We start from the raw sequence: 19,721 nt of genomic DNA, 5'->3' as shown, positions 1-19,721 counted from the left end.
TCCCAGCTTGGCCTGAAGGGAAGTAGGGCCTGTGCCTTGTGATTAAGGCACGGGTGGCGCTGGGTCCAAGGCCAAATGCCCTGAGTCCAGAGGGAGGAGACACAGACATGGTGAAGGCCACGGGACGAGACGGGGACTGGACAGAGCGCCACCAGCCTCGGCTCACCTGGGGCCACTGGAGCTGGAAGAGGCAGGAAGGAGCCCCAGTTCCTCCAGGGGTGCACAGCCCTGAGACCCTTGGTTTCAGCCTCTGGCCTCTGGAAAAGTGAGGGGCATCTGCAGTTTCATTGTTTTAAGCCCCAGTTCATGGTCATATGTTGTGGGGGTGCCGAGATACAGAGACAGACGCCCCCGGGGGACTCGTGATCACCCATGGGGGTGAGACCCGTGAAACCATGGGGGGCCTGGAGCTTGGGGCCTTGTGGAGCTGGAGGGGCTGTCTGGGAGCCCCCTGTGCCCGCAGAAGTCACTGAGGAGCCAACAGCCCCCCCAGCTGGAAGCGCCGTCCCAGGGGGACCACGGGGAGCAGATTGCAGGCCCCAGTTACACAGAACAAGCTGCTGGCCACACCGGTGCCCGCCACACCCCCCACAGGCTGGTCGCTCCAGGGACCACCCGAGGTTAAAGCCTGGATGGCGGTGCCCCCTCGCGTCCACTGGGCGTGATTGGCATCCACAGGGGGGTCCTCAGGGCCACTGCTCCCCGCCTGTTGCGTTTGCTGGAGCCCCTCCAGCCAGGCCAGAGCAGAGACACAGTCCCACCCACCACAGCCACCCAGCCCCGCCCTCACAGCTGGAGAAGGCAGGGTTATTTCAAAGCAAACCCAGGCAGCAGGCAGAGCTTCCCAGAGGGGGTCACAAGGAGGCCCAGCTGTCGGCCATGCCTTTGAGAACCACTGTCCCTGAGGTCACACACCCATGACACAGCCTGATTCACCGTGGGCTGCTTCTCAGACACAGACACACATGTCACTTTGCCAGGAGCCTCTCTAAATTAAAGACGGGTGGCCGGTCGCCATGGTTCATGCCTGTAATCCCAGCACTTTGGGAGGCTGAGGTGAGTGGATCACCTGAGGTCAGGAGTTTGAGACCAGCCTGGCCTACATGGTGAAATCCCATCTCTACCAAAATACAAAAAATTAGCTGGATGTGTTGGTCGGTGCCTGTAATCCCAGCTACTCGAGAAGGTGAGGCGGGAGAATTGCTTGAACCCAGGAGGCGGAGGTTGCAGTGAGCTGAGATCGCACCACTGCACTCCAGCCTGGGTGACAGAGCAAGACTCCGTCTAAAGAAAAAAAGACGACGGGGCCAGGCATGGTCACTCACACCTGTGATCCCAGCACTTTGGGAGGCCGAGGTAGGAGGATCTCTTGAGCCCCAGGAGTTTGAGACCAGCCTGGTCAACACAGCAAGACCTTACTGGTACAGAAAATAAAAAATTAAGGCCGGGCACAGTGGCTCACACCTGTAATCCCAGCACTTTGGGAGGCCGAGGCAGGCAGATCATGAGGTCAGGAGTTCGAGACCAGCCTGACCAACATGGTGAAACCCCGTCTCTACTAAAAATATAAAAATTAGCCAGGCGTGGTGGCGGGCGCCTGTACTCCCAGCTACTCAGGAGGCTGAGGCAGGAGAATCGCTTGAACCAGGGAGGCGGAGGTTGCAGTGAGCTGAGATCATGCCATTGCACTCCAGCCTAGGTGACAGCGCGAGACTCTCTCTCAAAAAATAATAATTAAAATTAGCCAGGCACAGTGATCTATGGTCCCAGCTACTCAAGAGACTGAGGCAGGAAGATCGCTTGAGCCTGGAAGGTCAAGGCTGCAGTGAGCTGCTGTCTCACCACTCCAGCCTGGGTAACAGAGCAAGATCCTGTCTCTAAAAAATAAATGAAATAAACAAGATTAAAGCAACAAGCCAGGCCACGGCCTTCGGGGACGCTCACCGTCAGAAAGTGCACGTGCAGTTCACGCCAGTTCTCAACCAGCAGTATTTGGCCACAGAATCCTGCAGAAACACAAATGCACCTGAGACCCTCCTGGATTAAAAATGGACCCTGTGCTCAGGGGCGCTGTGTGAAGCCCAGGCTGGGACCAGGACAGGCATCTCCGCGGGCACCAAGCGGGGAGCCCTGAAGGACCCCAGCTCTCCTGAAGGTCGCCCTCTGATGCAACCCCAGGCCTGAGGCCTAAGCAGGGAGTGGGTGGATCGAGCAGAAAGAGGCTGGGGCAGGTGGCCGGGGGTGGGGAGGGGGGCGCATCCCCGTCCCTGTTGCATGCAGCTTCCGTGTGAAGCCTCATTTTTAGGGAAGGTTCTGGAGCAAAAAGCCAGTTCTCACAGACTGCTGAGCGTCCAAGGCAGAAGACTGGGCTTCAGTGGGTCCGGGCTCACCTCCCAGAAGGTACTGGGCCTGGACAGGTGCTGCCATCAGGAGGGGAGCTGACTCACCTGGTAACCCCGTCTCTAGCTTTGTAAGGAGCTGCCACACCACCTTCCAGAGTGGCTGCTCCGGTCCACGTCCCCACCAGCAGCAACGCAGCTCCCAGCCTGGGCATTGAGAAACTCCAGCTTCAGCCACACTCGCAGAAGTTCCTCCCTGCATCTCCGCTATGGCAGCGATGGCAGGTGTCTTTTTATGTGGATGTTGTCGATATTAGAAGTGATTGAAAATGGTGAAAAGGCATCATCTGTGCAGATGTCCTCAGAGCACAGCATGACGGCGCCGTGGACCCAAGATTCACAGCATCGCAAACTGCGGCCCTGACATCGCGAACCGTGGCACCTCGTCGAGCCGTGTAATCGTATCTTCGTGAAGATGAAAGGAATCCAAACACTCCGCAGCTTGCATTGGAATTTTAGAACTGCAGATGCCGTTCCCCTCCATTTCCTGCTTTTTGGCAATGGGATGACGTTGCTTTTGTAATGAAAGAAGGGTGTGTCATATTTGTAAATGTTTACGTAGTAGTGAGTGCTGGGGAGACCCACAGGCCCCAGCCCACATATCCCGGGTCCTGGTCACAGGCAGGGACAGGATGGGACGGCTCTACTCACAGCCTCTCTGCCAGGGCTTGGCCTGCTGAGCCTTCATTTCCTCTCTTGCCCGTGAGTCTGAGGGCAGAGGATGGCTCGGGTGCCTGCTGCCTGTCCTAGCGAGGCCCGGGGCCGCTGCAGGCTTGAGCACATGGTCCCAGTGACTGCTCACTGTGGTTCTCAGCCCGTTAGAGCTCTGCAGCCTCAGCCTGTCCAGGCCAGCCCCTCTCCGTCCTTCGCTGTCAGCCCCAGCCGTGTGACCAGAGCTCTCTGTCCCCAGCTTTGCCAGCGCCGAGTACCAGGAGGCCCTCAGCAGGATCACCTCGGTCGTCCAGCAGCACCAGGAGGCCTTGGTCCCCGCGCAGCCCCAGCTCAACGTGTGCAACTGGGCGGTCATGGTAAGTGGCTGGTGTGTGGGCGGCCGTCTCTTTGCCGGGGCTGCAGCCACCCACCCGGGGCCCAGGATGAACCGTGGCCAGCACAGGGCAGAGGCAGGCGTGCTTCCCCGCCTCCGTCAGTGGTGAGGCCCTCGTGCCTCAGAGCACACGCGGCGGCGTCCGGGATTCGGGAGGCAGGAGCCAAGCGACTCGGGGACCAGAACAACGCTGCACCAGGGCAGCCGCAGGTCCACAGCCGGCCACCCGGGCCTCTGCCTGGCTGAGCTGAGACTGGGGAGCTCCAAGGCCCCTCTCCTGCCCCCCACAAGTCACTGAGGGACAGCAGGGCGCGTGAGAGGGTCCGGGGTCCCCTGGTCCTCGACTCCCACACGGGCAGCTTCTCCTTGCAGGGGCCCTGTGATGACCTCCAAACTCCCGGGCTCTGAAGGCACCGAGGCAGGAACGGCACTGCCCGGTGGGTCCCGGGTGGGCTGGTGGGCACTGTTGAGTGGCGGCGGCCCCAGGGCCCACCTGCGAGGTTCTCATTTGTGCCTCCTTCATGCTGGGCCAGCCCCAGAGACCTTCGCATCAGACCTGATCTCACTCATAGGCACCCACCCAGAGCAGCACCTCCGTGCAGCCTGACAAGACCAGGCCTTGTTCACCTCCAGTAGAGAAACGGCCTCATCACGCCAGCATCGGCCAGAAACACAAGCACAGACGTGCCTCCAAAGTTTCACTGAAGTCTGTGTTCAGGCCACAAAGGATGCGTCGTCGTCTTGTCCAGCCCTGGGGGCCGCAGCAGTCAGGGCCTCTCAGGAGCAGCTTTTCTGTCCCCTGCTTGGGGGTCCCATAGGGTGGCATGTGGACGGCCCAGCCATCCCGCGTGTGCAGTGGCCGCAAAGGCCTGTTTCCCAGCACAGCTGATGTGGGTCCCAGCAGGGCAGGTCTTCACAGCTCCTTCAGATGGGACACGTGCGGCCCTCGCTCTAGTCGGCAAAAACGAGCCACACACAGGTCTGCGGTGTCGCTCCTGGGTGCCCAGAGCCCACCGAGCACAGTGGAGATGGCCGAGCCCAGCCTCGAGGCCCCTGGGCCGTCGCTCACCTGTTTACACGGGCTGGGCGTGGCTGCCCACAGCCCCTGGATCTGCCGCGCAGGATTCGGGAAGAAGGCCCCTCGGCAGCTGCAGACTTCAGCCTGGGCTCCTGCTGTGCGGGCGAAAAGGCCCAGCTGAAGCCTCTTTCCAGGGCCAGACCCGGCTGCAGCGTGGGAGCCGCTGGGTGCCCGCCGTGCCGTGGGAAGGAAGGTGGTGGCTCTGAACAGCCAGGGAGCCACAGCGTGGGCCGGCGGATGTAACAGGAGAGCACCGGCCATCGGGAGCACCTACCAGCAGTGAGGACCATGGAGGGCAGATGGCCTTGTCCCTGCCCAGGGACAGTCCACCCTGCAGGGTTATTTAGGACTGGGCAGGGCAGGGCCACCTCCGTTAGTTGGGGGGCGGGGGGCGGGGGTGCCTGGCAAGTTTCATAGGAAGATATTCAGGGCCCTTCCTTCAAAGGGACCTGGGCAGCTGGCGTCCCCGCCTCTGGACTCAGTGGTGGAGCAGGGAGGTCCCTGTCTCAGGACCCCTGAGTCTCGGGGCCCCAGGAGCCCAGGGCCACCAGCCGTGGAGGAGCCCTGGCCTTCTGCCTTCCACACCCAATCCCACTCCGTGCTGCTGGGTCCTTCTCTACGACCCAGGCTGCAGTGGCTCCACGGGCGCAGGCCACACCTGCCATGGAGACAGTGGGCACAGGGCAGGGGAGGTGGGCGCACACAGCCTGGCTGCCACTGCCATCTCCTGGGCACTGGGGGAACTGCCCCCACCGCCACACCTGTGCTCTCTGCAGGGGGAAAAGTGCCAACTCAGACCTGGCGAGCTGAGCCACTGGGGTCTGAGGGGCCCAGATGCCACCGTGAGCAGAGCCATGGGGGAGATGCACAGACACGCGTGTGAAGCCTGGGGGCCCTCCTTACCCCTTCCCTGCCCTCTGTCCCCGCCAACTCCAGGCCAGCCCCAGGAGAGGGGCTCAGTGGCGTCTCTGGCACAGAGGAGAGGGAGTGTGGCCACCTGGACCCCTGCTTCTGGGACAGCTGAGCGGCCTTTGAGAAATGCAGATCCCCCATCCAGACTCAAACACACCCTGCGGCTGCCTCTGCTGCCCCTGGAGTTTGGGAGCAGCTTCCTCACCCAAACCCACTCCTGCTCTGGTGGCCAAGGGGGCAGGGACACTCATGCGGCATCCCTGCTGCCGCCTAGGGCTGGAGACTGTCCTTAGTACCCTGAGCAGCACCCAGAATCCAAAGTCTGTCCCCGGAAAGTGCCCTCAGGGCCATGCGGCGTCTGACGTGGCACAGAAGTGGCCTGGATGGGGACACAGAACCAAACTGCACTCATTTCAGCCAAGAAGGCTCCTCTTAGCGGCATAAGTCTCCCTTTCTGTTGCCAGGAAAAGTGCCCTCCCATCAAGCAAGGCTTCCGCTAAGCAAGGCTGCACTGTGAGGTCCACACACACCCAGGCGATGGAGGGGTGCGGGCTCCGCTCAGCACCGCACTGAACTGAGCCCAGCAGCGCAGTAGGGACTGGCTTCTCCCTGGGAAAGGCTTCTTGAGAGGCTGAAGCTGCAGGAGAGGGTGATGAGTTGAGAAGCTCAGGGTGGGCCCTCCTGGGAGGACCGCCTGCCCTTTCTAACACTGCTGGCCCTCGGAGGCCCTCAGCCACTTGGCAGCTGCATCCCCCATACCCGGGACCTCCCCACCAAGTTCTCATTTCTCCAATGGCAGCCTTCAGAGCTGAGAGGCCGAGTCAAGAGGGTGCCATCTCCCAAGTTCCCATGATTCCTGGGGAGCGTCTGTGTAGCTGCCCACCTGGACCGAGGTGGTCCCCACACTGAGGCCAATTGGTTGGGGTCCGGGGTTGACCTGGGCAGGGGACACATCAAAACTGCTCGAGGCCAAGCGCGGTGGCTCACGCCTATAATCCCAGCACTTTGGGAGGCCAAGGCAGGTGGATCACCTGAGGTCAGAAGTTTGAGACCAGCCTGGCCAACTTGGGGAACCCTTGTCTCTACCAAAAATACAAAAATGGTTGGGCGTGGTGGCTCACACCTGTAATCCCAGCACCTTGGGAGGCCAAGGCAGGTGGATCACGAGGTCAGGAGTTCAAGACCAGCCTGGTCAAGATGGTGAAACTCCGTCTCTACTAAAAATACAAAAATTAGCCAGGCGTGGTGGCGCGTGCCTGTAATCCCAGCAGCTACTCACTCAGGAGGCTGAGGCAGGAGAATCTCTTGAACCCGGAAGGCAGAGGTTGCAGTGAGCCAAGATCGCGCCACTGAACTCCAGCCTGGGTGACAGAGTGAGACTGTCTCAGAACAGCAACAACAAAATGCCCGCTGCTGCTGGGTCCAGAAGAGCTTGAATAACTGCATGTTCTTTTTCTCAATTTTCATTTCCCAGAACTGGGCACCTCCGGGCTGTGAAAAGTTAGGGAAGTGTCTGACACCTCCAGAATCCATTCCCAAGAAGTGCCTCTGGTCCCACTAGCACCTGCGCAGACTCAGGCCAGGCCTAGAATCTCCGGTTGGCCCTGCAAGTGCCTGGAGGAAGGATGGCTCTGGCCTCGGTCCTCCCCCAACCCTGCCCAAGCCAGACAGACAGCACCTGCAGACGCAGGGGGACTGCACAATTCCACCTGCCCAGGACCTGACCCTGGCGTGTGCTTGGCCCTCCTCCTCGCCCACGGCGCCTCAGATTTCAGGACCCTCCTCCTCGCCCACGGCGCCTCAGACCTCAGGACCCTGCCGTCTCACGCCTTTGTGAACCCCAAATATCTGAGACCAGTCTCAGTTTATTTTGCCAAGGTTAAGGATGCACCTGTGACAGCCTCAGGAGGTCCTGACAACAGGTGCCTGAGGTGGCTGGGGATACAGTTTGCCTTTATACATCTTAGGGAGACACAAGATCAGTATGTGTATGGCGTACATTGGTTCAGTCAGCCTTCCACTGAATACACGATTGAGTCTGGCCCAGTGAATCCGCATTTTTATGTAAACAGTAAGGGAACGGGGCAATCATATAAGCGTTTGTCTCAGGGGAGCCCCAGAGGGATGACTTCCAGTTCCGTCTGTCCTTTGTCCACAAGGAATTTCCCTGGACGCTAATTATGAGGGAGGCGTGTAGCTTCTTATCATTGTAACTATGTTATTTAGAAATAAAACGGGAGGCAGGTTTGCCTAATTCCCAGCTTGATTTTTCTCTTGGCTGAGTGATTTTGGGGTCCGGAGATTTATTTTCCTTTCACACCTTCTCAGCAGCTGCCAAGAATCAGGTGCCCAGCTCCCGCTGCCTCCCGGCCGGCCTCCTCCAGAGGCCAGCGCCACATTGGTTGTTGAAGGGCAGGACTCGGGGCTCCTTGCTGTTCCCACGCCAGCCCAACAGCCCGGGTTGAAGGAAGCCACAGGGCCAATTCTGTGTTGAACCCTCCCCAGGCCCCTCCTCCAGTACCCCCCCACCCCACGCCTTCCCAGGCCCCCCTCGGGCCATCTGGGAGACAGAATCAGGAACAAGGAAGGGGAAGGCGGAGGCCTCCTGGGCTGGACGTGGACGGCTGAAGTGTAGCTCACACACTTGGACCGGTGGGGCCGGCTCATGTGGCAGCTTCCCCGGGGACGTGAGGATGTCAGGGTCCTCCATTTCCACCTTCCCTAGGGGTCTGGAGCCCAGGCCCCAGGCCTTGCCAGCCCTGACCACCGCACACTGCGAGGCAGCCGCCCCTACCACGCCCCTTGGCATCAGACGATGGGTCCCCCACCCGCCCTGGAACCGGGGCCCCAGCAGCCGCATGCAGCCTCCGGCCTCCCCCTCCGAAGGCTCCTGGGGGCTGCCTTCCACTGAGTGGGTTTTCCCTTCTGCAGTAACTGCCAGGCCAAAGCTGAATTGTAAAAGTTGCGAAATGATGGGCCGGGCGCGGTGGCTCACGCCTGTAATCCCGGCACTTTGGGAGGCCGAAGCGGGCAGATCACGGGGTCAGGAGATCGAGACCATCCTGGCTAACACAGTGAAACTGCGTCTCTACTAAAAATACAAAAAATTAGCAGGGCGTGGTGGCGGGCTCCTGTAGTCCCAGCTACTCGGGAGGCTGAGGCGGGAGAATGGCCGGAACCCAGGAGGTGGAGCTTGCAGTGAGCCCAGATGGCGCCACTGTGCTCCATCCTGGGCGACAGAGCGAGAGTCCTTCTCAAAAAAAAGTTGCGAAATGAAGAAAAGTCTTGGAATAGAGCACAAGGCATTTTAGCTCTGGGGATTTTCTTGAAAGGAAATTGTGTTTGGGGGGAGTTATGCCTCACACAACCCCCTGGGTACCAGTCCTCGGGCGGCCAGGGGGTTCACAGCTCCCCACCCCAAGGCTAAGGGGTCACCTGGCCTCTGCAGGCGGACAGAAGGGCTTCTGCCCTCGCGGATGCGCGCCCTGGCCTGGCCACACCTTCCGGCCTCCCTCCCCCGGGTCCGGGCGGGGAAGAGCCGCCTCAACGGCAGGGCCCATCCGCGAGAGGCCAGCGCCCCCGGCCGGTCCAGCCCAGGCCCGCCGCCTCCGCCCTGGGCTGCTCCCTCCGGGCCCTGCACCGCCCTCCTGCTACTTGGACCGCTTCCTCACGCCCTTCTCCACCCCGCGCGCCAGCCTCCCGCGCGCAGCGTGGGGATCTCGGCCAATAAAGGAGAAAGGGCGCGGCCCGTACGCGCGCCAGGTGCGTGGGCGAGACCAGCTCACGCCCCTCCTCCAGCCGCCAAGGCCCCGGCCCACAGCTGCCTGGCTGCAGTCAGAAGCGTAGCCCGAGACAAGGAAGGGCGCCTTGACTCGCACTTTTGTCCGGTTCGAACGTTCTGCTCAGTGGTGCGTGGAATGCGAGCGCGTCTTAAAATCGATGGCGCCTAGGAGTCCATGAAATACGGTACAGGCTTCCGGCGACGGATGCCCCGCCCCTCACCCACGCTCCGCCCTCCGGGGATGCCCCACCCCTCGTGGCGGTCCCGCCCGTCCCCGCGCAGGCGCGCTCGGGCTGCCGCTGGCTCTTCGCACGCGGCCATGGCCGACTCCGAGCTGCAGCTGGTTGAGCAGCGGATCCGCAGCTTCCCCGACTTCCCCACCCCAGGCGTGGTATTCAGGTGCACGCACAGGCCGCCCTCGTGGCGCCCCGACCTGCGGGCCTACGGATGGGAGCGCGTGGCCCGCGACCTCCGGGCGGGCGGGGCGGGAACCCTCGTCTTTCGCCCCCGGGGCCCTGCCCTCCTTCGGCCCCGGCGTCACCAGGCCTGTCCTTGGGTCCAGGGACATCTCGCCCGTCCTGAAGGACCCCGCCTCCTTCCGCGCCGCCATCGGCCTCCTGGCGCGACACCTGAAGGCGACCCACGGGGGCCGCATCGACTACATCGCAGGCGAGTGCCCAGTGGCCGCATCTAGGGCGCTTCCGCCTCTGCGCGCGCCGAGGGCAGCACGTGGGCTCTGCGCGTCTGCTTGGGGGAGGGCCTTTGGGGTGCTTCAGGGGGCGCCGGGACGGGCGCCGTGCTTGGGTCGCCCGGGAAGGGTTGTGAGATTGAGCCCCCGAGGCCGCCGCGCTGTGCAGGCGTCCTTCCCGCAGGTTCCGGGTCCCCAGCCCAGGACAGGCGTGACCGAGTTGCCGGGTCAGTTGGTCTCCCTGGAGTGCCCAAGCTGAATCCACAGGGCCCAGCTGCCTTGCTTCTTGTTCCTTCTGCGAGCTGGTATTGAGCGCCTGCCACGAGCCAGGCCTTCCCTGGTGAAGATCACGGAATGCCCACCCAGGGAAGGGAGGCCTGGAGGCCTCCGGGAGAGCCCAAGAGGTGGCCCAGGGAGAACAGAGTGTTCCTGGCCGTCTTGCCTCTCCTAGGGTGTGACAGCCCACTCCCTGGACACTGCCCTGAGGAAAGCGCCAGCTCTTGCTGGAGCCACAACACTGCCAGAGCTCCCTTCTCACCTCCTGCAGGAAGCCCTCCCTGACCTCCTGCCAGGCCGGGGCAGGGTTTCCCTGAGCGTCCCCCAACCATCACAGCTCAGGCCACCTCGAGAGACTCCCTTTTTAGACAGAAGCCCTGGTGCAGAGCTGCCTTTGAGAGTAAGCTGAGGCCTGTCAGGTTTCTACCAGCCCAGTTACAGATGGGCTGCTCAGCTCAGAGAGAGGGGTGGTGACTCCCCTAGGAACACACAGCTAAGAAGTGGTCCCTTAAAAGACAGACCCAGGTCTGCACTCTGACCTGGAAGCAGCTCCGGGTAGGTGATGGGTAACATTCCTTAAATGGTGCATGTCACTGGCCTTTCAGCTGGGAGCCAACCAGGTACCCCTTGCCACCGGCCAACCCTGGCCCCTGGGGATTCCCATGCTGCCGAGTCACTCCTGTCACTTACCCTGACAGGCCTAGACTCCCGAGGCTTCCTCTTTGGCCCCTCCCTGGCCCAGGAGCTTGGACTGGGCTGCGTGCTCATCCGAAAGCGGGGGAAGCTGCCAGGCCCCACTCTGTGGGCCTCCTATTCCCTGGAGTACGGGAAGGTAAGAGGGCTGGGGTGGCCAGAGGAAGGGCAGGGCCAGGCCACCGTGGCCACTCTCCCCCAGTTCTAAAAGGCCTTCCCAGGCGTGTCAAGTGGAGCTGCTGTGGTTACAGTGGCCTTGGGAGCTCAGAGAGGTTGAGACATAGGCTGGGCTCACACAGCCAGGTAACAGCAAGGTGGGGTTGGAGTCAGGGTCTAGGGTGGCAGCTGCCAAGCTGTGCAACAAAGCTGTTTTCTGCGGGAGGCTGAGGACCACACACCACTTCCCACTCCAGGCTGAGCTGGAGATTCAGAAAGACGCCCTGGAGCCAGGACAGAGGGTGGTCGTCGTGGATGATCTGCTGGCCACTGGTGGTAAGGGTCTCCCCGCAGCCAACTGCTGTGGCTCCAAGGGCCTGGTGGGAGTGGGACAGGACCTCGCTGTGTGACATGGGATGCAGCTTACTGTTGTCCAGAGGGTGCCTGGTGGCCAGGCCGACACCTTCCTCTCCCCATGCCTTCCCCTCCCCAACCCAGGGGCTGGCCTGGAGCACCTGCTCTCTGCAGCCCAGGCCAACTGGGGACCTCACCCTCCCATCCCCAGGAACCATGAACGCTGCCTGTGAGCTGCTGGGCCGCCTGCAGGCTGAGGTCCTGGAGTGCGTGAGCCTGGTGGAGCTGACCTCGCTTAAGGGCAGGGAGAAGCTGGCACCTGTACCCTTCTTCTCTCTCCTGCAGTATGAGTGACCACAGGGCCTCCCAGCCCAACATCTCCAGCTGGATCCCAGGGAAATATCAGCCTTGGGCAACTGCAGTGACCAGGGGCACCGGCTGCCCACAGGGAACACATTCCTTTGCTGGGGTTCAGCGCCTCTCCTGGGGCTGGAAGTGCCAAAGCCTGGGGCAAAGCTGTGTTTCAGCCACACTGAACCCAATTACACACAGCGGGAGAACGCAGTAAACAGCTTTCCCACAAGAGCCGTCTCCTGTCCTCCTGTTCCCCAGGGCAGGGAGCCCCAGGACAACACCAGACTTCAGCTGTACTGTGGGCATGTGCTGCTTGGCGTGATGCCCAGCAGAACCTGTCCTGGTTCTCACCTCAGGAGCTAGAACCCTCCAGGCACTGCAGGAAGAGGCCATGTGGGCCCATCTTCTAGGGGAGCAAGCGAGGGCTCTTCTGCAGATCTAGTGGCTGTAAGCATGACTTTATTAGAGTTTAGGAGGTCAGAAATACTGAAGTCAAGGTGTGGGCAGAGGCCAGTCCCTTCTGGAGGCTCCAGGGATGTCCTACTTGTCCTGCCCAGCTTCTCCAGGCTGCCTGTGTCGGGGCAGGGCCGCGTCTTCAAAGCTGGCTGGCTCTGGCCCTGTCATGAAGGCCCTGTGATGACATGGGGCGTAGCTGGACAATTCAGGATCACCTCTCCAGTCTTGAAATTTTTTTTTTTGAGACGGAGTCTCGCTCTGTCACCCAGGCTGGAGTGCGTGCAGTGGTGCGATCTTCGCTCACTGCAAGCTGTGCCTCCTGGGTTCACACCATTCTCCTGCCTCAGCCTCCCTAGTAGCTGGGACGACAGGTGCCCACCACCACACCCGGCTAATTTTTTGTATTTTTAGTAGAGATGGGGTTTCACCATGTTCGCCAGGATGGTCTCGATCTCTTGACCTCGTGATCTGCCCACCTTGGCCTCCCAAAGTGCTGGGGTTACAGGCGTGAGCCACCACACCCACCCCAGTCTTTCTTAATGACAAAAGTCACCCTTTGCTGTGGGAGGTCCCATATTCAGAGGTTCCAAGATTAGAGGGGATGGCCTGCCACCCACACTACCCAACCCCATATTGCCACAGAGCCCCCTTCACCCCCAGCCACACTCCCGATGGCCCCCCAGGGGGTGCTGGATCTGGCTTCCCTTCCCCACCAGCAGCAAGGACAGAGGTGCCCACAGAAACCGGTTTAATGTGAATCCACCAGGTGAGCCCCATGAAGGGGCCCACCGCCCGCAGCCAGAGACCCTCGGGCTGTGCAGCCTGCAGCCCACATCTGCCTCTGGCCCTCAGGGGCGCTGGGGAAAGGAAGGCCAAAGTGTATCATGTTCATAAAAGAAAATGCTGGTGGGCCCAGGCCAGCGAGCTTCTGAAGCCCACGTCTGTCCACAGTGGCCCCCAGGCTCACAGCCCCTCCTCAGCACGTGTCTGGTGGGCCAGGCGTGCAGTGATGTGGGCGAGGTCCGCGGCCTTGTCCAGCTTGACGTAGGTGTCGGTGCGGATGCGGTGGAGGCTGAGCCAGTCCGGCAGCAGCTCGGAGAGGAGCAGCAGGTGCTTCTCCATTTCCCCTGGGGGAGGAGAGGAGGACACTGAGGCTGGTGCTGGGCCCCAGCCCTGCACGGGCAGCACTTGAAACCAGCCTGACCACCCAACCTCTGTGCCTGCCTGGTCGCCCTCAGGGCCCCATCACCAGGACTTAGGGCAGAGGTGGTTCTGATCAGAGGCCCAGGTCTGGGTGGTGTGAACAGTGACCGGAGAGAGCCAGGCCTACAGTTGAGGCCCTGTGAGGAGGCACCGAGCATGGAGGCCGCCAGCCCATGAAAGCCCTGAGGCAGGAGGTGCCCTGTAGCGTCAGGACCCCTATGTGCTCAGGGCCTGGTCACCAGAGGCCTGGGAGGCAGTGGAGGGTGCATGTGGGGCCCCTTCTGACCAAGGACTGCAGGTGGTCAGGGAAAGGGCCAGAGCTGTGAGGGGGAAGCTGCCTCCAGAGGCTGCAGGTGTGGAGGGGCCGGGCGGAGGCTCAGGGGTGGCTCCAAGGAGGGCAGAGCGCCCAGGACACACCAGTGCAAGAGGCCAGCGCCCACTGCACATCTGAACAGAACAGATCAGTGACAGACACCTCTGCTCAGAAAGCTGGGGAGGCAGCTGCAGCACCAGGCAATTCCACCCTGCACGCCCCTTCACCCCGCCCTGCACGTACCAGGGCTCATGATAGTACAACAGCTGCCCACCATCCTGGCACAGGCCACCTCCATGCTGAGCGCAGGCTTGCGTTCGGACACAAAGACGCTCCGCAGCACGCGGGCCAGCTCAGGCAGCCGTTCTAAGCGCTGCAGCCGCTGCTCCTGCTCCGGGCACCGCGTCATCTGTGCCAGCTGCTTCTGTGCCTCCTTGGCTCGGATCTGCAGCAGGTACCGGGACCTGGTTAGTGGGCAGCAGGTCACCAGGCGCCCACCCGCCATCACTGGGGACGACTCACCCGCTCCAGCAGATCCTGGGACACCCCCTTCAGAGCACTGGGAGAGGCTGCAGGCGGGGTGGCTGGTGGGGTAGCCGGCAGTGCTGGCCTGGGAGACCCGGGGCTGCTGGGCGCAGCAGAGCGCAGGGCCAATTGACTCAAGGCCTTCTCCATCTGCGGGAGGGACAGGTTGGACTGGAGAGGTCACAAGATGCAACGTGCCCCTGGCTGTCTGCCCAGGAGTCCCCGGTATCTCTCAAGGCACAAGTTCACCCAGCACACTGGGTGGTCTGTGCCGGTCAATGCAGTGTCCCAGTGTGCAGCATCGCCTGCCCAGGCCAACTCCCCACATGGGGCTAGTGGCAGAGCCAGGCTTAGAGGCTGCAGCTGGGGACAGAGGGCAAATGCCACCAACTCTCTGGATCCGCCAGCCAAGGAGGAAGCCAGATGAGGCGTCAAGCTCATCACCAAGGCTTCCACCTCTTAAGCCTGGGGTCAGGCTGGCCCACCCACCCGGGAGAAATGGGCTGCCCAAGCCTCGCAGTCTCACCCTGGGTGAAATCAGGTTGCGGGCCCGGGCCAGCACCTCCTGAGCAGTGGTGAGCTTCTCCGTGGCGGGTGGCTGGGGCAGCGCGGCCGGCTCGATGTCGGGTACTTCATCCACGTTGAAGCGCGGGTGCCAGCGGGTCAGCTGGTCCTCCGGCACCACCATGGCGGGGCTCAGGGAGGCCAGGAAGGCCTGGGGAGAAGGAGTAGATGGGTGACCCTGGGCACATCTGAGACAAGGGCAGACTGCATGTGAGGTAGGCCTGTGCTTACGTCCCAGCCGGGCCGCCTCGGGCAAGTCACTCAGCCTCTGCCCAGTGCTCAGCTTGGAGGGAGAGCACAAGGCCTCCCATGGTCCGCGCTCGCTGAACGCCTTGGGGACCTCCTCAGTGCCTGCGGCTGCACCCTGAGCACACCAGCCCTCAGCTCAGGGTGAACCCAGCCCAGTTCCATCCCGGGAGAAGCTGTGAGTGGCAGGGATGCTCCAAGCACAGGGTTAGGTGCTGAGGCAGTGCTGGTGCCACCATCTTCACACAGCGGGGCCGGGGGCCGCTCACCTTGTGGTGCTCCTTGACATGCTCCACCAGCTTCTGGCTGAAGATCTGCCGTCGCTGCAGGAGGCGCGAGGCCGTGAGCTGGGGGGCTGCTCCGTCAGCCTCTGTGGGACGAGTCCAGGCCTAAGTCCCCACCAGGCCACCCAGCCACCCACCCGTGACCAGTCCTGGGCCAGATGCCCAGCACCTCACACCCACCCTGGAAACTGTGCGGCTCACAGATGGGGAAACCGAGGTCCCGCACCCAGCACTCACCCTGCTCCAGCAGTGGCTCGATGGTGAGCTGGTAATCTGACCTCCTGGTGCCATCCTTGAAGGTGGGGACACTGCGCTCCTGGCGGAAGCGGTAGGAGGCCGGGTACACGGTTTTGATCTGGCCAACATTGCACTCCTCAAAACGCCTATGGGAGGATGGGGGCGGCTCAGGAGGCAGGCCCGGGCCCACCCCCAACTCCAGGACAGCCACAGCCCACCCCCGGCCACTCACCTACGCATCATGTCCTGGACGCCCCGCTGGACCTTGGCAAAGGTGGGCGTCTCGGAGCGGTTGTGGAGCATGCCCACGATGGTGTCCATGCTGCGGAACATCTCCGCCAGCACCTGGTACTTGTAGGGCAGCACGAGTCCCGGCAGGCCGGGCTGGGCCAGGGCATGGAAGCGCTGGTAGGCGGGCGCCTTCTCGCCACTGTCAGGGAGGGAGGAGCCTCATGAGAAGCAGTAGGCCCCTACCCCTCCAACGCCACAGCAGGCCCCTCGGCCAGGGAGACCCTCCGATGGGGCCTGCCATGCCACACACGATGGCTTTCGCGGCCCTTGCACACCCACCAGCACTGGCACCGTTAGGGGTAGCAGTGGTGACGGGAAAGCCCGGCTCCACACCCCAGCTCTGCTGTGTCCACGCAGCTCCCCCAGGGAAGCTCTGCCCTCTCCCCAGCGCAGTTTCGTCAGCTCTCAGGGGCAGAGGCAGACAACACACCAATGCATCAGGAGCATTTGAAACCTGCCAGAGTCCCCGAGGCAGGAGCTGCCCCCCGCAGGAGGGACTGAGGGCACAGCGCCAGCAGTGCCCGGGACCTTTTTCTCAGGGGTCTGGGTCCGCGCCCTGGTGACCTCACCACCACCCTCCCTGGAAGGAGCAGACCTGGGCCTCTGACAGGCTCGCTGGGCCACGCCTGCCACCAACCCGGCCTTTGCCGGGGCCTCGTGGCCGCCCACCCAGCACTCACCATGGCTCCTCAGGGCGGCCCTCGGCCTCTGGGGTGCAGGACTCCCCAGCATCCTGGGCACTGGCCTTCAGCGCCCGGACTCTTGCCCCCAGCTCCCGGGCCCGTTGCAGGCATGACGCAAGCTCAGAGATGGTGTCCTTCAGGGGGATCAGGGGACACGGTGCCGTCAGGCAGGCAGGCAGGCCGGCACCACTCAGCCCTCCCGCATCTGCCCCAGGCCCCGCCCCTCACCTGGTCCTGCGCGGATGTCAGGTGGGGCGGCTGACCTGCTGCCGGGGTGGATTTCTTTATCTTCTGGCCCGGAGAAGGGCAGGCTGGGATGTCTGGGGCCTCGGGGGTACTGGGGCTGGAAACCTGGTGGGAGGGACCCCAAGGGTGAACTCATGACAAGACCTGGTGCTCCTGGCTCTGCAGAGGACCCCGAAGGATCAGAAGCCGCTCTGAGTTAACTGGGACGGGCATGGCTGGGGGGCTTAGGACTTCCCGTAGATGGTGGTCTGTGCTAAGGCCGGGGACACAGCCTTGCTCTCGTCTTCCGGGGCCGTTTCCAGGTCGGACCCCTGCCCTGGCCTCGCAGAGAAGCTGGACTTCCAGCCCCATCATCGGATCCCGGTGCAAGCCCCCCAGTGCCTCCTGCTCATCTCAGGAGCCAGCCAAGTCCCCAGTGGTGGCAGGGCGCCCCCAGGATCCCCCGGCCTGTCCCAGAGTTCCCTGCGCCCCGTCCCCCCCGCCTGTTTCCCCGCCCCCGTCCCTCCGCCTCAGTTTCCCCGAGCCCTGCCCCCCGGGCCTCAGTCTCCCCGCCCCCAACTCCCCGGCCTCAGTCTCCCCACGCCCCTCACCTCGTCCACCGACAGCCGCAGTCTCCTGCGGGCCGGTGGCCTGGCCTGGTCGCGTCCGGGGGCGGCGGGCGGGCGGGCGCGCTTGCGGCTGCCACTGGTAGCGGAGGCCGGGGCGCGGAGTGCGGGCCTGGCGGGGCTGGGGGTGCGGCAGGCCAGCTTGGGCGGCGCGATGCGGGGGGGCCCGGGGCGGCGGCGCGCGAAGAAGTCGGTGACGCGGCGCTGCTCCATGGCGGCGGAGTGCGCGGCGAAAGCAAGGAAAGAAGGAAGGGAGGAAGAGGCGGGCGCGGTTCCCGCCAAATTTCCCGCGGGCGCCCTGGCCCCGCCCCCGGCGCGGACCGAACCATCGGGGCAGAGCACGGGGGGAGGGAAGGGACGGGGCGCGCATGCGCGCTGGTGGGCGCGGGCACCGGCTTGGCCGCGCGCATGCGCCGACGTGCGGGCGTGGACTCGCCGGCGGGCGCCGTCGTGCGTGGGACTTTAGCGCGGTCTCCGGATCCCGCGTGTGGCTCCCACTTTTCAGGGCGTGTCAGTGGGGCCGCTGGCTTCAGGGTCAGAATGAGCGCAATCCAGGCAAACAGCAGCGCGCGCCTGACAAAACCCCGGCGCTGCCCGGGGGAGCCGAGGACGGCGCGGCCTGGGGGGCTGCAGGCTCGAGCTGGTAAAGGCGCTTCCCCCGCGGGCCGCACGCTCCTTATTTCTTTTTTTAAAACTATTTCTGGCTGGGCGCGGTGGCTCACGCCTGTAATCCCAGTACTTTGGGAGGCCGAGGCGGGCGGATCATGAGGTCAGGAGATCGAGACCATCCTGGCTAACACGGTGAAACCCCGTCTCTACTAAAAATACAAAAAATTAGCCGGGCGTGGTGGTGGGCACCTGTGGTCCCAGCTACTCAAAAGGCTGAGGCCTGAGAATGGCGTGAACCCCGTGGGGCGGAGCCTGCAGTGAGCCGAGATCGCGCCACTGCACTCCAGCCTGGGCGACAGCGAGACTCCGTCTCAAAAAAAAAAAAAAAACTATTTCTATCGAGGCGGAGATTACGTTGCCGGGTGGTCTCGAACTCCCCGGTTCAGTGATCCGCTCTCTTGGAACTGCCCCCTCCCAAAGCGCTGCGATCACAGGCGTGGCCTCCGCGATCCGCGTTGCTCGCTTTTTAAAAGGGTGGATTTGATATGTGAATTATTTCTCAATCAAGCTATTACATGGAAACGAAGAAAAGGGGCCGGGCGCGATGGTTCACGCCTGTAATCCCAGCACTTTGAAAGGCCGAGGCGGGCGGATCACCTGAGGTCAGGAGTTCGAGACCAGCCTGACCAACATGGTAAAACCCCCTCTCTACTAAAAATACAAAAATTAGCCAGGCGTGGTGGCGGGCGCCTGTAATTCCAACTGCTTGGGGGGCTGAGGCAGCAGAATCGCTTGAACCCGGGAGGCGAAATGGCGCCACTGCACTTCAGCCTGAGCGAAAGAGCGAGAAACTCCGTCTCAAAAAAAAAAAAAAAAAAAAAAAAGGAAAGAAAAGAAACTGCCTTTAGCATGGCTGAGGGCTGAGATTTTAAAGTTTTAGTTCTTAAAACCTATAGCGCTCCTATCTGGGAAACGGCCTAGAGCGCGGTTTATCTGGAGAGCCCGAGCCACAGCCACTCCTTCCAGAGACGCCAATAAGCAGGGCCAGGCGCAGCGCTGCGGAAGTCCCCCGCAAAGCAATGCGGGCCGCCGGGGCCTGGAGGCCTGCGAGGGAAGGGGACGCGGGTGGAGGCGGCCAGGGCTCAGAGGAGGGCTTCTGTTTTCCCATTTTCCAAGTTTTCTGTAAAAAGCGTGAATTGTGCCTATTTTTTTTTAAGTTAAAGGAATAGAAACCGGTTTGATGATGCAACTGGTGCTTGCAAAATACCTCAAAGGTGGCCTGCACGGTGGCTCACGCCTGTAATCCCAGCACTTTGGGAAGTCGAGGCGGGCGGATCACTTGAGGTCAGGAGTTCAAGACCAGCCTGGCCAACATGGCAAAACCCCGTCTCTACAATAAATACAAAAATTAGCCGGACGTGATGGCAGGCACCTGTAATCTCTGCTACTCAGGATCCCGCCACTACACTCCAGCAGCCTGGGCAACAGAGCGAGACTCCATCTCCAAAACAAAACACCTCAAAAGTGAGGACGTTCATAAGTGGGGGGATGGGGAGGGCGTGGTGAGGCATTTGTTTTCCATCTGTATATAAGGGATCAGCACCTAGACCTGTGTTTTGCAAGCAGCTGGTAGCAAATTTTTAGTGGGTCAAGAAATAAATATGGAAGACTGAGACCCACATTTTTTAAAGCTACGTTTTGTTGAAAAGTTTTGTTTTGGTAC

General features: G+C 62.1%; 3 protein-coding genes across 14 annotated transcripts in view, besides 17 other annotated features; 2 read left to right on the top strand and 1 right to left on the bottom strand.

Moving 5' to 3' along the window:
- GALNS (galactosamine (N-acetyl)-6-sulfatase) overlaps positions 1-7,700 on the top strand; it is a 43,214-nt gene extending 35,514 nt beyond the window's left edge. For 4 of the 11 annotated variants that reach the window (NM_001323543.2, NM_000512.5, NM_001323544.2 and 1 more), the window contains 2 exons: positions 3,310-3,427; positions 6,909-7,700. In NM_001323543.2, coding sequence (NP_001310472.1) covers positions 3,310-3,427; positions 6,909-6,995 — 205 coding nt within the window. In that variant the 3' untranslated portion in view covers positions 6,996-7,700. Of the gene's footprint in view, positions 1-3,309; positions 3,428-3,977 lie in introns of all 11 variants that reach the window. The other 7 variants (XM_017023113.2, XM_005256301.4, XM_011522982.3 and 4 more) reach the window with 2 other exon arrangements.
- Positions 2,450-3,649: an enhancer, noted in NCBI's record as "CDK7 strongly-dependent group 2 enhancer chr16:88884193-88885392 (GRCh37/hg19 assembly coordinates)". NCBI's record gives its function as "activates an origin of replication core promoter dependent on BRD2, BRD4, P300/CBP, MED14 and CDK7 cofactors, with strong dependence on CDK7, by STARR-seq in HCT116 cells {active_cell/tissue: HCT116}" and the evidence as "EXISTENCE:reporter gene assay evidence [ECO:0000049][PMID:35650434]".
- Positions 4,244-4,743: an enhancer, noted in NCBI's record as "H3K4me1 hESC enhancer chr16:88883099-88883598 (GRCh37/hg19 assembly coordinates)". NCBI's record gives its function as "activates a minimal SCP1, AML or CMV promoter by ChIP-STARR-seq in naive H9 embryonic stem cells {active_cell/tissue: H9 hESC(naive)}" and the evidence as "EXISTENCE:reporter gene assay evidence [ECO:0000049][PMID:30033119]".
- Positions 4,744-5,245: an enhancer, noted in NCBI's record as "H3K4me1 hESC enhancer chr16:88882597-88883098 (GRCh37/hg19 assembly coordinates)". NCBI's record gives its function as "activates a minimal SCP1, AML or CMV promoter by ChIP-STARR-seq in naive H9 embryonic stem cells {active_cell/tissue: H9 hESC(naive)}" and the evidence as "EXISTENCE:reporter gene assay evidence [ECO:0000049][PMID:30033119]".
- Positions 4,744-5,277: a biological region, named in NCBI's record as "H3K4me1 hESC enhancer GRCh37_chr16:88882597-88883098".
- Positions 5,168-5,277: a silencer, noted in NCBI's record as "silent region_7881". NCBI's record gives its function as "represses an Ori minimal core promoter by ATAC-STARR-seq in GM12878 lymphoblastoid cells {active_cell/tissue: GM12878}" and the evidence as "EXISTENCE:reporter gene assay evidence [ECO:0000049][PMID:35858748]".
- Positions 7,763-8,446: an enhancer, noted in NCBI's record as "H3K27ac-H3K4me1 hESC enhancer chr16:88879396-88880079 (GRCh37/hg19 assembly coordinates)". NCBI's record gives its function as "activates a minimal SCP1, AML or CMV promoter by ChIP-STARR-seq in naive H9 embryonic stem cells {active_cell/tissue: H9 hESC(naive)}" and the evidence as "EXISTENCE:reporter gene assay evidence [ECO:0000049][PMID:30033119]".
- Positions 8,447-9,131: an enhancer, noted in NCBI's record as "H3K27ac-H3K4me1 hESC enhancer chr16:88878711-88879395 (GRCh37/hg19 assembly coordinates)". NCBI's record gives its function as "activates a minimal SCP1, AML or CMV promoter by ChIP-STARR-seq in naive H9 embryonic stem cells {active_cell/tissue: H9 hESC(naive)}" and the evidence as "EXISTENCE:reporter gene assay evidence [ECO:0000049][PMID:30033119]".
- Positions 8,844-9,103: a silencer, noted in NCBI's record as "silent region_7880". NCBI's record gives its function as "represses an Ori minimal core promoter by ATAC-STARR-seq in GM12878 lymphoblastoid cells {active_cell/tissue: GM12878}" and the evidence as "EXISTENCE:reporter gene assay evidence [ECO:0000049][PMID:35858748]".
- Positions 9,354-9,753: a silencer, noted in NCBI's record as "silent region_7879". NCBI's record gives its function as "represses an Ori minimal core promoter by ATAC-STARR-seq in GM12878 lymphoblastoid cells {active_cell/tissue: GM12878}" and the evidence as "EXISTENCE:reporter gene assay evidence [ECO:0000049][PMID:35858748]".
- APRT (adenine phosphoribosyltransferase) lies at positions 9,506-12,095 on the top strand. Of its 2 annotated transcripts, none has more exons than NM_000485.3 (5): positions 9,506-9,614; positions 9,778-9,884; positions 10,878-11,011; positions 11,286-11,364; positions 11,594-12,095. In NM_000485.3, exons 1-5 carry the CDS (start codon positions 9,535-9,537, stop codon positions 11,734-11,736), a joined length of 543 nt encoding a protein of 180 aa, NP_000476.1. In that variant the 5' UTR covers positions 9,506-9,534; the 3' UTR covers positions 11,737-12,095. The 2 variants fall into 2 exon arrangements, with proteins under 2 accessions (NP_000476.1, NP_001025189.1); NM_001030018.2 differs by having other exon boundaries at positions 11,728-11,965.
- Positions 10,637-11,172: an enhancer, noted in NCBI's record as "H3K4me1 hESC enhancer chr16:88876670-88877205 (GRCh37/hg19 assembly coordinates)". NCBI's record gives its function as "activates a minimal SCP1, AML or CMV promoter by ChIP-STARR-seq in naive H9 embryonic stem cells {active_cell/tissue: H9 hESC(naive)}" and the evidence as "EXISTENCE:reporter gene assay evidence [ECO:0000049][PMID:30033119]".
- Positions 12,176-17,645, bottom strand: CDT1 (chromatin licensing and DNA replication factor 1). The gene is made up of 10 exons (NM_030928.4): positions 17,375-17,645; positions 16,767-16,889; positions 16,536-16,672; positions 15,797-15,994; positions 15,565-15,710; positions 15,313-15,413; positions 14,760-14,948; positions 14,231-14,383; positions 13,952-14,153; positions 12,176-13,319 (listed from the first exon to the last, which is right to left on the bottom strand). Exons 1-10 carry the CDS (start codon positions 17,600-17,602, stop codon positions 13,156-13,158), a joined length of 1,641 nt encoding a protein of 546 aa, NP_112190.2. The 5' UTR covers positions 17,603-17,645; the 3' UTR covers positions 12,176-13,155.
- Positions 14,080-14,593: an enhancer, noted in NCBI's record as "H3K27ac-H3K4me1 hESC enhancer chr16:88873249-88873762 (GRCh37/hg19 assembly coordinates)". NCBI's record gives its function as "activates a minimal SCP1, AML or CMV promoter by ChIP-STARR-seq in primed H9 embryonic stem cells {active_cell/tissue: H9 hESC(primed)}" and the evidence as "EXISTENCE:reporter gene assay evidence [ECO:0000049][PMID:30033119]".
- Positions 15,331-16,213: an enhancer, noted in NCBI's record as "H3K27ac-H3K4me1 hESC enhancer chr16:88871629-88872511 (GRCh37/hg19 assembly coordinates)". NCBI's record gives its function as "activates a minimal SCP1, AML or CMV promoter by ChIP-STARR-seq in naive and primed H9 embryonic stem cells {active_cell/tissue: H9 hESC(naive and primed)}" and the evidence as "EXISTENCE:reporter gene assay evidence [ECO:0000049][PMID:30033119]".
- Positions 16,214-17,097: an enhancer, noted in NCBI's record as "H3K27ac-H3K4me1 hESC enhancer chr16:88870745-88871628 (GRCh37/hg19 assembly coordinates)". NCBI's record gives its function as "activates a minimal SCP1, AML or CMV promoter by ChIP-STARR-seq in naive and primed H9 embryonic stem cells {active_cell/tissue: H9 hESC(naive and primed)}" and the evidence as "EXISTENCE:reporter gene assay evidence [ECO:0000049][PMID:30033119]".
- Positions 17,454-17,563: a silencer, noted in NCBI's record as "silent region_7878". NCBI's record gives its function as "represses an Ori minimal core promoter by ATAC-STARR-seq in GM12878 lymphoblastoid cells {active_cell/tissue: GM12878}" and the evidence as "EXISTENCE:reporter gene assay evidence [ECO:0000049][PMID:35858748]".
- Positions 17,644-17,883: a silencer, noted in NCBI's record as "silent region_7877". NCBI's record gives its function as "represses an Ori minimal core promoter by ATAC-STARR-seq in GM12878 lymphoblastoid cells {active_cell/tissue: GM12878}" and the evidence as "EXISTENCE:reporter gene assay evidence [ECO:0000049][PMID:35858748]".
- Positions 17,644-18,391: a biological region, named in NCBI's record as "H3K27ac-H3K4me1 hESC enhancer GRCh37_chr16:88869451-88870026".
- Positions 17,816-18,391: an enhancer, noted in NCBI's record as "H3K27ac-H3K4me1 hESC enhancer chr16:88869451-88870026 (GRCh37/hg19 assembly coordinates)". NCBI's record gives its function as "activates a minimal SCP1, AML or CMV promoter by ChIP-STARR-seq in naive H9 embryonic stem cells {active_cell/tissue: H9 hESC(naive)}" and the evidence as "EXISTENCE:reporter gene assay evidence [ECO:0000049][PMID:30033119]".

This window comes from Homo sapiens, chromosome 16 (assembly GCF_000001405.40).
Source record: "Homo sapiens chromosome 16, GRCh38.p14 Primary Assembly".
NCBI classification, from domain to species: Eukaryota; Metazoa; Chordata; class Mammalia; order Primates; family Hominidae; genus Homo; species Homo sapiens.
This window is presented reverse-complemented; position numbering and strand designations above follow the sequence as displayed.

Bases quoted from the DNA above. Each gene is read 5' to 3' on its own strand.
- CDT1 (NM_030928.4), bottom strand. From the start codon at position 17,602: ATGGAGCAGCGCCGCGTCACCGACTTCTTCGCGCGCCGCCGCCCCGGG. The intron at 16,673-16,766 runs GTGAGGGGCGGG...ATCCCCCTGAAG, and splicing joins TGACATCCGCGCAGGACCAG to GACACCATCTCTGAGCTTGC. The intron at 15,414-15,564 runs GTGAGTGCTGGG...CTCGTCCCACAG, and splicing joins CGAGCCACTGCTGGAGCAGG to AGGCTGACGGAGCAGCCCCC.
- APRT (NM_000485.3), top strand. From the start codon at position 9,535: ATGGCCGACTCCGAGCTGCAGCTGGTTGAGCAGCGGATCCGCAGCTTC. The intron at 9,615-9,777 runs GTGCACGCACAG...CCTTGGGTCCAG, and splicing joins ACCCCAGGCGTGGTATTCAG to GGACATCTCGCCCGTCCTGA. The intron at 9,885-10,877 runs GCGAGTGCCCAG...TTACCCTGACAG, and splicing joins CCGCATCGACTACATCGCAG to GCCTAGACTCCCGAGGCTTC.